This window comes from Homo sapiens, chromosome 19 (genome assembly GCF_000001405.40).
Source record: "Homo sapiens chromosome 19, GRCh38.p14 Primary Assembly".
NCBI classification, from domain to species: Eukaryota; Metazoa; Chordata; class Mammalia; order Primates; family Hominidae; genus Homo; species Homo sapiens.
This window is the reverse complement of record NC_000019.10, coordinates 38,784,498-38,796,662: the sequence shown is the minus strand read 5'-3', so window position 1 is coordinate 38,796,662 and position 12,165 is coordinate 38,784,498. Positions and strand designations below refer to the sequence as shown.

At 52.8% G+C, this 12,165-nt stretch overlaps 1 protein-coding gene across 1 annotated transcript, besides 1 other annotated feature; it reads right to left on the bottom strand.

Moving 5' to 3' along the window:
• Nucleotides 3,533-4,232: an enhancer, noted in NCBI's record as "H3K27ac-H3K4me1 hESC enhancer chr19:39283071-39283770 (GRCh37/hg19 assembly coordinates)". NCBI's record gives its function as "activates a minimal SCP1, AML or CMV promoter by ChIP-STARR-seq in primed H9 embryonic stem cells {active_cell/tissue: H9 hESC(primed)}" and the evidence as "EXISTENCE:reporter gene assay evidence [ECO:0000049][PMID:30033119]".
• LGALS7B (galectin 7B) lies at nt 4,909-7,463 on the bottom strand. Its single transcript, NM_001042507.4, has 4 exons — nt 7,431-7,463; nt 6,959-7,047; nt 5,773-5,974; nt 4,909-5,083 (listed from the first exon to the last, which is right to left on the bottom strand). Exons 1-4 carry the CDS (start codon nt 7,434-7,436, stop codon nt 4,970-4,972), a joined length of 411 nt encoding a protein of 136 aa, NP_001035972.1. The 5' UTR covers nt 7,437-7,463; the 3' UTR covers nt 4,909-4,969.
• Between the last annotated feature and the right edge of the window lie 4,702 nt (nt 7,464-12,165).

Here is a 12,165-nt window from a genome sequence, read left to right as displayed (position 1 = left end):
ATAGAAGGGTGGATAGATGGATCTATGTGTGATAAAGCAAGTTGAGTAAAATGTTATATAGAATCTGGTTAGGGTATATGAGGTATTCATAGAATAATTCTTTTAACTTTTCTGCATGTCTGAAAAAATTCATAATAAAATGTTGGGGGAAACCTTTGCATACAAACTTTGCAAACATTGTATCATACAATGATATGAACTGTAAATTTTTTAGGAGTTAGAATGGTAATGAGGTTTTGTTTAAAAAGAGAGCCTGCCAGGCGTGGTGGCAGATGCCTGTAATCCTAGCTACTTGGGAGGCTAAGGTGGGAAGACTGTTTGAACCTGGGAGTTTGAGACCAGCCTGGGCAGCATAGTGAGACCCCATCTCAAAAATAAAAATTAAAAAATAAATATCATTTAGAATTATACACATATTTATGGATAAGATTATATAACACCTTTTAAAAATCCAATTTAAAATGGGCAGAAAATTTCGATAAACATTTCTGCAAAGAAGATATATAAACGGCAACCCATGTCATTAGGGAAATGCAAATCAAAACCACATGACATATCTCTTCACCAAGTGGTGAAGCCAACCTATTAGGATGGCTATAATAAAAAAGACAGATAGGTCAGGTGTGGTGGCTCATGCCTGTAATCCCAGCACTTTGGGAGGCCGGGGTGGGAGGATCACTTGAGGCTAAGAGTTCAGGACCAGCCTGGGCAACATAGCAAGAACCTGTCTCTACAAAAAATTTTTAAAAATTAGCCAAGCATGGGGACGCACACCTATAGTTCCAACTAATTGGGAGGCCTGAGGTAGGAGAATTGCTTGAGCCCAGGAGGTGGAGGCTGCAGTGAGCCATGATTTCACCACTGCACTCCAGCCTACACAACAGAACAAGACCCTGTCTCAAAAAAAAAAAAAAGACAATAACAAGTGTTGGAGAGAACATGGAGAAATAGGAACACATATGTTGCTGATGGTAATGTAAAATGTTACAGTTACTTTGGAAAATGGTTTGGCAGTTCTTTGAAACGGAACTTAAAAGAGTCATGTGACCCAGGAATTCTTTTTTTTTTTTTCTTTTTTGAGACGGAGTTTCGCTCTTGATGCCCAGACTGGAGTGCAGTGGTGCGATCTCGGCTCGCTGAAACCTCCACCTCCTGGGTTCAAGCGATTCTCCTGCCTCAGTCTCCCAAGTAGCTGGGATTACAGGCATGCACCACCACGCCCGGTTAATTTTGTATTTTTAGTAGAGATGGGGCTTTTCCATGTTGATCAGGCTGGTCTCGAACTCCTGACCTCAGGTGATCCATCTGCCTTGGCCTCCCAAAGTGGTGGAATTACAGGCATGAGCCACAGCACCTGGCCTGACCCAGAAATTCTCCTAGGTACTTACCCAAGAGACATGAAAACATGTTCACACAATAGGTTCATAGCAGCATTATTCATAATAGCCAAGATGTAGGAACAACCCAGATATCCATTATTCACCATGATGAATGGGTAAACGCGTATATTCGATCCACACATTGGAACAGCATTCAGCCATGAAAAGGAATGAAGTGCTGATGCATGCTATGACATGGACAAACCCTGAAAACATGATGCTCCGTGGAAGAAGCCAGATATACAGGGCCACATATTGTATGATTCCACGTGTGGAAAACAAGCAGATTCATAAATCCATACAGCTGGAAAGTAGGTTAGTGATTGCCAGGTGCTGGGGGAGGGGCAAGTTGGGGAGTGACTGCTTATGGGTATGGGGTTTCTTTTAGTTGTTCTTTTTTGTTTTGTTTTGTTTCTGAAACAGGGTTTCACTCTGTTGCTCAAGCTGGAGTGCAGTGGAGCGATCACGGCTCTCTGCAGCCTCGACCTCTCCAGCTCAAGCCATCCTCCTAGCTCAGCCTCCCGAGTAACTGGGACCACAGGTGTGTACCACCATGCCCAGCTAAAATTATTTTTTGTAGAGATGAGGTCTCCCTATATTTCCCAGGTTGTTTTTTTTTTTTTTTTTTTTTTTTTTTGACACAGAGCTTTGCTCTGTCACCCAGGCTGGAGTGCAATGGTGCTATCTGCTCACTGCAGCCTCCGCCTACCGGGTTCAAGCAATTCTCCTGCCTCAGCCTCCCACGTAGCTGGGATTACAGGTGCGTGCCACCACGCCTGGCTAATTTTTTGTATTTTGAGTAGAGATGTGGTTTTGCCATGTTGGCCAGGCTAGTCTCGAGCTCCTGAGCTCAAGTGATCCGCCCATCTCAGCCTCCCAAAGTGCTGAGATTACAAGTGTGAGCCACAGCGCCCGGCCTCAGGCTGGTCTTGAACTCCTGGGCTCAATCAATCCTTCCGCTTCAGGCTCCCAAAGTGCTGGGATTACATCTGTGAGCCAAGGTCTTTTGAGATGATAAAAATGTTCTAAAATTAGATTGTGTTGATGGATGCACAACCTTGTGAATATACTGAAAAACATTGACTTGTATACTTTGAATGGGTGACTTGTATAGCATATGAGTTATATGTCAATAGAGCTGTTACAGAAAGATCCAGGAGGATGGGGAGGAGAGAAGGGAAGCTGAATCATAAATTCTAAATTTCTTTGAAGACAAACTTAATAAAGAAGGATTTAGGTTGGGCACCATGGCTCACACCTGTAATCCCAGCACTCTGGGAAGCCTCGGTGGGAGGATCGCTTGAGCTCAGGAGTTTGAGTCCAGGAGTTCAAGACCAGCCTGGGCAACATAGCAAGACCCTGGCTCTACAAACACCCGCCCCCCCCAAAAAAATTAGCCTGGCACCATGGCACGTGCCTGTAGTCTCAGCTACTTGGGGGGCTGAGGTGGGAGGATGGCTTCAGCCTGGGAGGTTGAGGCTGCAGTAAGCCCTTATCCACAACTCCACTCAGCCTGGGCAACAGAGCAAGACCCTGCCTCAACAAAAAAAATTTTTTATTTAAAAATTTTTGATGAACTGTTACCGATGGAGGGTGTCCAGGTGCTTGGTCTCTTGAATGAAGAATTGGGCAAAACGCACAAAGCAAGGAAATAATGAAGCAACAAAGGCAGAGATTTATTGAAAATAAAAATACACCCCACAGTGTGGGTGCGGCGGAGCATAGGGGCTCAAGGGCTGGGTTACATAATTTTTTGGCATTTAAATACCTTCTAGAGGTTTCCATTGGTTACTTGCTGTACGCCCTATGTAAATGGAGAGGATGTTTCCTGTCATAGCTGAAGTGTGAATCAGCCTTATGTTCCCTGCCTCCAGACCCTATTTTCCTGCCTCAGAACCATTTGAGAATAAGTCGCAAACATGCTGCACCACCAAATACCTAACTCTATTTTCCACAAACAGGGACAAGTTCCCACATGTACACTGTCAGTCAACGGTGAAATTCAGGACATTAACACGGCTGGATCGCTACTGTCTAATCCGAAGACCCAACCACATTCACCACTTGTGCCAATAATGTGTGTTCATTTCACTGTATGTTTTGAAATGTATACCAGATGCATATATTATCTTTATGAAAAAACTGATATTTTAAAAACACTCGACACAGCCAAATGAAATAAGAGCGAACTCATTCAAGCAGGAGCCCCGGAGGACTGGGAGAAACCGGCCTCTCACAGGCCTCCTCACCAGAGCTGGGCTCGCTCCTGGCCACCGCCCACCCACTCCAGGGCCGGACACGGGAAGGGACCGCCCAGACCGAAGGTCGCAGGGGCCTAAAACCCCGGGTCCTGAATGCGCCTGGGACCTGCAGCGAACCTGGCGTCCCCACCTGACTCCAGAATCAGATTCAGGCCAGGCCAGGAACCACCCCAGCTTCCTGCATCCGCCTTGGTCCAGGCAGCAATGCGGAAGGCGGACGCCAGGGGGTCGGAGGCTCAAGGGCGGGGATCGAGACCCAAGGCCTGGCGCGCCCACCAAGATGTGGCTCTGCACTAAGGTTCCGGAACAGCCGGCCCTGAACACCCACGTGCAGCTTCCGATCGCAGCCCTGGCCTGGCTCCTCGGTCCCCGGTTGAGAGACCCGCGACCGCTGCAGGGTGCCTCGCCGAGGGTGGGGGCTCGAGGCGCACAGTGCTCCCAGCCTCTCCCACCCCAACCCCGCCATTAAGGGAAGCCCCAGCGACGCCCTGAACCCTGAAAGTCACACTGGGGCCGGGGCTGCACTTGGCGTCCGCTTCCCCTCCCGTCACAGTGACCAGGGCTAGGACCGGGGTCCGGGCCGTCGGGGAGAGCGGAGGGCGCGTGGGAATGGGGCTCGCTGCGCCAGGGAAAACCCACGCCGTCCTTCGAGTCCTCCCAGCTGTTCCGCAGAGCCGGGGCCGCTGCCATCGCGTCTGCCCCGAGGGTGCGCAGGCGGGTACCTGTCCCGACTCGGGGAACAGCGGGAGCCCGGAGACGCCCGTCGGGCTTCCCAGCCCCACCTGGGACGTCTCTAGGGGCGGGAGGCCAGGAGAGAAGAGGGTGGGAGAGATGAGCTGCAGGGGGATACGGGACCCAGGGACCCGGGATCTTATAACACGCTTTCCACCCGTAGGATTGGGGCCCACAAATGACCAGAAAGGTGGGACTCATTCGCCCCCTTTGCAGATGGACCCATGTTGGCGCCCCTTAGATCTGCAGTGGGGGCACCAGGACCTGCGGTGAGCGCCTCTGCGCCCCAAACGCCAGCAGGTCCGCCCGACCGCATTCCCAGCTGGCTTGCTTTGCACAAATGCTGCGTCAGGGCACGCCCCACACCCACTCCTTCCCAGATCGCGACCCTCACGCCTTCGCAGACAGAAAGTGTCCTAAGCACAGGCAGGCTCAGAGCCCGCCTCCGCCTCGGATTCGCTGTGTGGCCCGGAGCCAGTATCTTGGCCTCTCTGGGTCTCAGTTTGCTCATCTCAGTGAATGGGACACAGACACAGTCGCGCTGCGGGCTAACGCTTTATTTGCCAGCCAAGGCCCCGGGCCCGCCTGGGCTTCTGCTCAGAAGATCCTCACGGAGTCCAGCTGCACGTCCCCGCCCACCTCCACCAGGCGCACGCGCGCCAGCGGCAGGCGGTGGCGGAAGTGGTGGTACTGGGCGTCCCCAACCACGGCCTGCAGGGGAGGGTCGGTGGTGAGGATTCCGGAGGCCCGTGCTGGGTGGCCCTGGGGAAATCACTCATCCCCTCTGGGCCTCAGTTTCCTCACTGGGAAAATGGGGCTATTGTTCATTCTAACTCTTGCGTGAGGATCAAACGAGTTGACTGTGTGGCACAGTAAAAAGCGGCTTTTTTAGTGCTGGTAATGGATATTCTCATTTCAGCGACCATTACCCGCTATTAAAGCGCAGAGGAGGGAGGTGAATTCGCGTAAGCTGTGGGTGGTGGAGGATCTGCCGCCACTCCCACCCGCCAATCCTTGCTAGGACGAGTTCCTGGGCGCTGTTTCCAACCCATCCCTCCCCATGCCTCAAACCCCGGACCTCAGGAAGGAATGAACTGGGAGTAGGGTCTGGGATGGCGAGTCTGGGCCACGCCTTCCCGCTAGGACGCCCACCCCTTGGACACTTGGCTGGTGCTCGCCTCGTCCTGACCCTGCTGTCTCTCTGTCCCTCGGACCCAAGTGGGAGTTGTTTAGGCGAGAGAGAGGGTCGAAGGACACCCTTCTCCGCCTTGGCCACGACTTCCCTACCCCCCTCACCCCGCCCCGAACCTCCCTGCCTTCCACCAATAGCCTGGCTTTGCCCAACCCTCTGCTCCAGGGACCTAAGTCTTGGCGTCCACGCCCCTGTCGCAGAGACGCACCTTGAAGCCGTCGTCTGACGCGATGATGAGCACCTCGAAGGGCTGCCCGCGCTGGAAAGGAACGCCCGGCCCGCGCTCCTCGCGGCCCCAGGAGCCTTGCTCCTTGCTGTTGAAGACCACCTCCGACGTGTCCAGCCGGGGGTTGAAATGCAGGGCGGCATCGGAGCCCTGCTCCTCCCCGCACAGCAGGTTTACATGGAACCTGGAAGAGGGGGATGGTGGCCGTCAGGGCTCAGAAACCACCCAGACCAAGAAATGTTGAGGGTGAGGAATACCGATGTCTACAATTTACTTTGAATGAATAAGTAAATGAAATGTTGGCTGGGTGCAGTGGCTCACCCTGTAATCCCAGCACTCTGGGAGGTGGAGAAGGGAGGATCGCTTGGGCCCGGAAGTTAAAGACCAGCCTGGGCAACATAGCGAGACCCCACCTTACAAAAAAACGAAAGAACAAACAAAACATAAACCGCCCAGACCAAAGTGAAGGTCTTATGGGCTGGCACTCCCCATTCCCAGAGTACCCCCAAATTAACAGGGACCTGAAGACAGGCACACACCGCAGAAGGAGAGGTGGGCGACTAATGACCAGGGAGCTTAGATTCCCAAGGCAGCCAAAATATCATGAGGCCCTTGGCAGAAACCTACCCAGACCAAACTCACTACGCTTAGGGCAGGGTGCCCTCATTTCCAAAGAGCCTGGGAGCTGCCCAGGAGGTCTGGGTGATAGCCAGGGTGCTCCTGATGCTCAGGGAACCCTCAGCTTCTACAGGACAAAGAATAATACCAGGAACCCCAGTATTTCCAGGGTACCTCAGAATCCAGAAGGCCCGAAGTTCCTTAGCCAGGAAGTCAAAGGATGGCTTGGCAAGGACTCCCAGGGTCCAGGGTGTCTCCAGGACTTGGAGTATTTCCAGAGTTCCCTGGGACTCAGACATGGAAGTCATAGGACTATATCTAGGAACCCTGAGATTACCCAGGGACCTCAAATGCTTAGGGAAACTTAGGGACCCCAGCCACAAAGGCACGGGGGCAAATACGAATACATCAGATTTGAGGTCAGAAATGGCCTCGGACTCCTAGCCTGGTGGATACAGGTGGCCTCGGGCCCCTACTTCTGGACTGCAAAAATTGGGAGTCAGCTGATCCTGAGACCTGTACCCTTTACCCCTAGGGCCTGGGGCCTCACCTGCTGGCATTGGGAGGAACCAAGCCGCGAATTCTCAGCACCGTGCCAGGGCGGATGCCCTCGGGCAGTGAGGACTTGTGGGGGACGTTCTGCAAGAGTGGGGTGCAGGGGCCACTGTGAGCCGGTGAGACCGAAGGAGGGAGGCAGAAGGTGGGTCACCCCTCAGAGGAGCCGACCAGGGCTGAGACTGGCAGAAATCAGTGGAAGAGGAAAGGGTGGCGGAGAGGCAGGAAAGAGACCAGAAACAGACAGGGAAACAGATGGGGAGAGCAACAAAGACAAACAGAAAGATCCTCAAAGAGGGCCCCAGAGGAAGCCACAAAGAGGTAGAGGGGACAGTCGGGATGGGGGTTACCCGGAGGCCACAGCCCAGGCCAGTCCGTGGCACACTCACTGCCCACTTGCTCCTTTGAAAGAGGAGCCCCCAGCCCCCTCCCTGCTTGGCCCCGCCCCGGGCCCCTGGAGCACTCACGGACATGGCTGGGACCGGGTTGGGCAGCCGTGGTGGTGGGGCCTGCTGGGGACCTTAAATAAAAGCAGGGCGGGGCTGGCCCTGATGACTCACCCCACCCCTTCCCACCCACCACCCACACCTGGCACGGACCCTGGCCCTGGGGCAAGCCTGGCGAAGTGGGAGTGGCGCCTCTTCTTGGGGGCCCTGATCCCCCCATCACCCAGAGCCCGGGTGCACTGCCCCTCTCCTAGGAGCTGATAATAAGAGCCACCGCCCCTCCACCCCTGTCTTCCCACTGCCTGGCACACAGGAGAGTCTCTCATGCTCATTTTATCCACAGACATGTTGGGTCCTGAGAAGCCAAGCCCAGCGGGAACTCTAGACCCTTCTCTCCAGCTGAGAACCTCCTGCCTAGACTGGAAATGTCTGCGCTGAAATCCCTGCTTCTAAGTCTCCAGTGGAACAGCAGCCACAACAACGACGATAGTGCCAGACAGGGGGACTTCACAGGGTCGGAGGGCGGCCTGGTTGGCTCAGTGCTGCACCCCTGGGTCCTGGAGTGTGCCGGGTTCATGGGAAGTCCTCAGTCAGGAGGGGTGAAAGGAGGGGATCCACTAGGACTACGCTTGTCATTTCCCAGGCCCTTGGGCTGCCCAGGATATGCAGGAAATCACTGATTGGGACCCCACCATTCCAACAGAGAGAAGCATGGGTCACCCCCATTGTACAGAGAAGGAGGCTGAGGCTGGGATGGGAAGTGATTTTCCACAAGCCGGGCAGGACCCATTGCCCCAACCTCTGCCTTTCCTCACCTCTGGGCGTGCCTCTCCTGTGGGTTCTGTCTCTGGGGCTGGCTGTCTGGCTCTGTTTGTCTCTGTCTATAACTGTCTACCGCGTATTCCTGTCCCACTTCTCTCCTTCAAGTCTCTCTTGTTCCTCCTTCCAGGACTGTTACCATCTTCCCACCAATTTTGCAGGTCAGGATGAGGTGGGTTTTAGGGTGGTGGGTGGCCTAGCATTCCATCACCACCTAGATCAAAAGCAGAGCAAGGTGGGGACCCTCCCGCCAGCCCCAATATAGCCCGCTTGGGCCCAAGACTCTAGAAGAGAATCCAGGGTTGGGGAAGTAGACTGGGGGAGGCGGGGGGGGGGGGGGGGGCGGGCAGGACTGAAATCTGTTTCTGAAAGGCAGGGATGGTGTGGGAGCTGAACAGAAACCACTCCTGGCTGGGCATGGTAGCTCACGCCTGTAATCCCAGCACTTTGGGAGGCCAAGGTAGGTGGATCACTTGAGGTCAGGAGTTCAAGACCAGCCTGGCCAACATGGTGAAACCCCTTCTCTATAGAAAATACAAAAAATTGGCCAGGTGTGGTGGTGGACACCTGTAATCCCAGCTACCTGGGAGGCTGAGGCAGGAGAATTGCTTGAGCTGGGGAGGCGGACGTTGTAGTGAGCCGAGATCACACCACTGCACTGCAGCCTGGGCGACAGAGCTAGACTCTGTCTCAAAAAATAAAAATAAAGCCTGTAATCCCAGCACTTTGGGAGGCCGACGCGGGTGGATCACGAGGTCAGGAGATCGAGACCATACTGGCTAACACGGTGAAACCCCGTCTCTACTAAAAATACAAAACAAAATTAGCCGGGCATGGTGGCGGGCACCTGTAGTCCCAGCTACTCGGGAGGCTGAGGCAGGAGAATGGCATGAACCCGGGAGGCAGAGCTTGCAGTGAGCCGAGATCGCGCCACTGCACTCCAGCCTGGGCAACAGAGCAAGACTCCATCTCAAAAATAAATAAACAAACAAACAAATAAATAAATAAAAATAAACCACTCCTAGCAATGCAGCAGCCCTCCTGGACCTTTTCCACTCCCCACCCAACTCCTGCACTCCTGCCCCACCCAGCAGGCTGCTGAGAGGCCTGGGCAGAGGCAGGCTGGCAGTGGAAAGTTTGGGTGGAGACACCAGACCCAGAACCATCCTCCACCCTCTTTGTCCCAGGCCCCCAGCCTCTTGCCCCCTCCCCACACACTCCAAGGCACCAAGGTGGGGGACCAGTTCCTAGGGACGTGAGCTCAGAGAGGGAGGCTTGCAGCTGCATTTCAGTGGGAGCTGCAAGCACCCCCATTCTGCAGAAGACAAAACTGAGGCCTAGACAGGGACAGCTTCTCAGCCAAGGAAGCGGCCAGGCCCTGGGCTCCACAGGGGTGTCTGTGCCAAGGACATGTCATGGGCACGGACAGAGAGGACAGCAGGGTGTCCGGTGATCACACCACCAGCGCAGCTCAGTTAGTTCCCGAGAATGTTCCCTTGAATGGTGAACTCCATCATTCTAACATTATTGACCATTCTAAAGAACACACTCCTCACATTACTGACGCCTCATGCTGTGTACCGTGTTTCCCAGGAACTCAACTTTTTAGTGATCGCTTCACTGTGGCTGGATGTAACTTCACATGCAGCCAACATGCTGCAAGTCCCAACGTGCCTTTGCTGACTGGCCAAAGCTTTCCATTCACTCTATTATTAGCCTGAAGTCCTGACTCCTTTCTGGTAACAGATCTGCATCCTTGATTGCATCCTTGATGGGTTTTTGTTGTTGTTGTTGTTGTTTGTTTGTTTGTTTTTGAGACAGAGTTTTGCTCTGTCACCCAGGCTGGAGTGCAGTGGCACGATCTCGACTCACTGCAACCTCTGCTTCCCAGGTTCAAGTGATTCTCCTGCCTCAGCCTCCTGAGTAGCTGGGATTACAAGCATGTGCCACCACTCATGGCTAATTTTTGTATTTTTAGTAGAGACAGGGTTTCACCATGTTGGCCAGGCTGGTCTTGAACTCCTGCCCTCAAGTGATCCACCCACCTCAGCCTCCCAAAATGCTGGGATTACAGGCATGAGCCACTGCATCCAGCCCTTGATGAGTTCTTATTCAATTGTGTTATCTTTCTCATTAGTTGTGCAATAATTTTTTTTTTTTTTTTTTTTGAGACAGGGTCTGGCTCTCTCTGTGATCATGGCTTACTGCAGCCTTGGCCTCCTGGGCTTGGGAATCCTCCCGCCTCTGGAGTAGCTTGGACTACAGTTGCACGCCACCATGCCCAGCTTTTTTTTTTTTTTTTTTTTTTTTCCTAGAGAGGAGGTCTCACCATGTTGCCCAGGCTGGTCTCAAACTCCTGGGCTCAAGCGATCCTCCCACCTTGGTCTCCTAAAATGTTGTGATTACAGGCCTGGCCACGGTAATATTTGTGTGTCTTTTTTCGGTTTTAAATAACTAATGTGTTTATTTCCCAATTGTTATTTCATTGAGGTATTTTTCCCATTAAATAAAAGGTTCAGATTTTGTTGTTGTTGTTGTTGTTTTGAGACAGGGTCTTGTTCTGTCGCCCAGGCTGGAGTGCAGTGGTATGATCTCAACTTACTGCAACCTCTGCCTCCCAGATTCAAGTGATCCTCCCACCTCATCCTCCTGAGTGGCTGGGACTACAGGAGTGTGCCACCACACCTGCCTAATTTTTGTATTATTTTGTACTGATGGGGTTTCGCCATGTTGTCCAGGCTGTTCTCAAACTCCTGGACTCAAGTGATCCACCTGCTTTGGCCTCCCAAAGTGCTGGGATTATAGGTGTGAGCCCCTGCTCAGGGTTCAGATTTTAATGGAATAGTTCAATGAGTTTTGACACATATAGTCACCTGTGTAACCACCTCCCCAATCAAGTTTCCTGGTGCCCCTAGAAACAGTCACTGCTCCTTCTGCCACATGAAGCCACTGTCACTCCTGAGCAGTTAGTAGCCACAAAGTTTCCTTTGATCCATTGTGGTGGCATGTGCCTGTAGTCCCAGCTACTCGGGAGGCTAGGGCAGGAGGATCACCTGAGCCCTGGAGGTGGAGGCTACAGTGACCCAAGATCACACCACTGCACTCCAGCCTGGGTAACAAGGCGGGCGGATCACCTGAGGTCAGGAGTTTGAGACCAGCCTGGCCAATGCGACAGCGTGGCGCCTGCCTGTAGTCCCAGCTACTGGGGAGGATGAGGCAAGAGAATCACTTGAACCTGGGAGGCGGAGGCTGCAGTGAGTTAAGATCGCACCTCTGCACTCAAGACTGGGTGACAGAGCGAGACTCGGTCTCAAAAAAGAAAAAAAAGGCCAGGCGCGGTGGCTTACACCTGTAATCCCAGCACTTTGGGAGGCCGAGGCGGGCGGATCACGAGGTCAGGAGATCGAGACCATCCTGGCTAATACGGTGAAACCCCGTCTCTACTAAAAATACAAAAAATTAGCCAGGCGTGGTGGCGGGCACCTGTAGTCCCAGCTACTCAGGAGGCTGAGGCAGGAGAATGGCATGAACCTGGGAGGTGGAGCTTGCAGTGAGCCAAGATCGCGCCACTGCACTCCAGCCTGGGCAACAGAGCAAGACTCCAAGATTCCGTCTCAAAAAAAGAAAAGAAAAGAAAAGAAAAATAAGTTCATTTGCCGTGAAAATGAGAAAGTGGGTTGGGACAGACTGATTTTTCTGATTTTAGGCCTCTTTCAGGATATAACTTAGTTGAAAAGTAACTAATCGCACACTAAGTGTTTGTAGGGATTTAAAACCCCAGGTTCTGTCAGTGCCATTTTGTTAGTGATATTTTGAGTTATTGTTTTTTGTTTTATTTTTGATTTTTTTTTAGTGATTGCTTCACTGTGGCTGGATGTAACTTCACATGTAGCCAACATACTGCAAGTCCCAATGTGCCTTTGCTGATTGGCCAAGG

What these genes read in the sequence shown, in the direction of transcription:
- LGALS7B (NM_001042507.4), bottom strand. An exon ending in GTTCCTCCCAATGCCAGCAG is followed by an intron (nt 5,975 to 6,958) that starts GTGAGGCCCCAG and finishes CCCCTCTTCCAG; the next exon opens with GTTCCATGTAAACCTGCTGT. An exon ending in CGTCAGACGACGGCTTCAAG is followed by an intron (nt 5,084 to 5,772) that starts GTGCGTCTCTGC and finishes CCTCCCCTGCAG; the next exon opens with GCCGTGGTTGGGGACGCCCA.